This window comes from Homo sapiens, chromosome 13 (assembly GCF_000001405.40).
Source record: "Homo sapiens chromosome 13, GRCh38.p14 Primary Assembly".
Lineage (NCBI taxonomy): Eukaryota > Metazoa > Chordata > Mammalia > Primates > Hominidae > Homo > Homo sapiens.
The window spans coordinates 109488886-109489588 of NC_000013.11; the positions used below are offsets into that span (position 1 = coordinate 109488886).

General features: G+C 57.5%; 1 annotated feature.

The window, feature by feature from the left end:
- Positions 342-457: a silencer, noted in NCBI's record as "fragment chr13:110141574-110141689 (GRCh37/hg19 assembly coordinates)". NCBI's record gives its function as "represses an EF-1alpha promoter that drives an FKBP-Casp9 reporter gene in an ReSE screen in K562 erythroleukemia cells {active_cell/tissue: K562}" and the evidence as "EXISTENCE:reporter gene assay evidence [ECO:0000049][PMID:32094911]".

Consider the following 703-nt stretch of genomic DNA (forward strand, 5'->3'; position numbering starts at 1 on the left):
GGCGGACTGGTATGGTCTGTGTCCTGCTAGGAACTGGGCACACAGCAGGAGGTGAGCGTCGGGCCAGAGAGCATGACCGCCTGAGCTCCGCCTCCTGTCAGATCCCAGACAGCATGACCGCCTGAGCTCCGCCTCCTGTCAGATCCCAGAGAGCATGACCGCCTGAGCTCCGCCTCCTGTCAGATCCCAGACAGCATGACCGCCTGAGCTCCGCCTCCTGTCAGATCCCAGACAGCATGACCGCCTGAGCTCCGCCTCCTGTCAGATCCCAGACAGCATGACCGCCTGAGCTCCGCCTCCTGTCAGATCCCAGACAGCATGACCGCCTGAGCTCCGCCTCCTGTCAGATCCCAGACAGCATGACCGCCTGAGCTCCGCCTCCTGTCAGATCCCAGACAGCATGACCGCCTGAGCTCCGCCTCCTGTCAGATCAGTGGGCATTCAATTCTTATAGAAGCAGGAACCCTGTTGTAAACTGTGCATTCGAGGTTTTCTGCTCCTTATGAGAATCTAAGGCCTGATGATCTGAGGTGGAATAGCTTCATCCTGAAACCATCCCCTCCACGAAACTGGCCCCTGATGCCAAAAAGTTTGGGGACTGCTGCTCTAAGCAATTTTCCTCAGTTCAGCACTCTACCCTGGAAGGATGCCCTGGAAGACTAGTTTCAGGAGTTAATAAGGTCCAGACCCAGCCTCTCTGGAC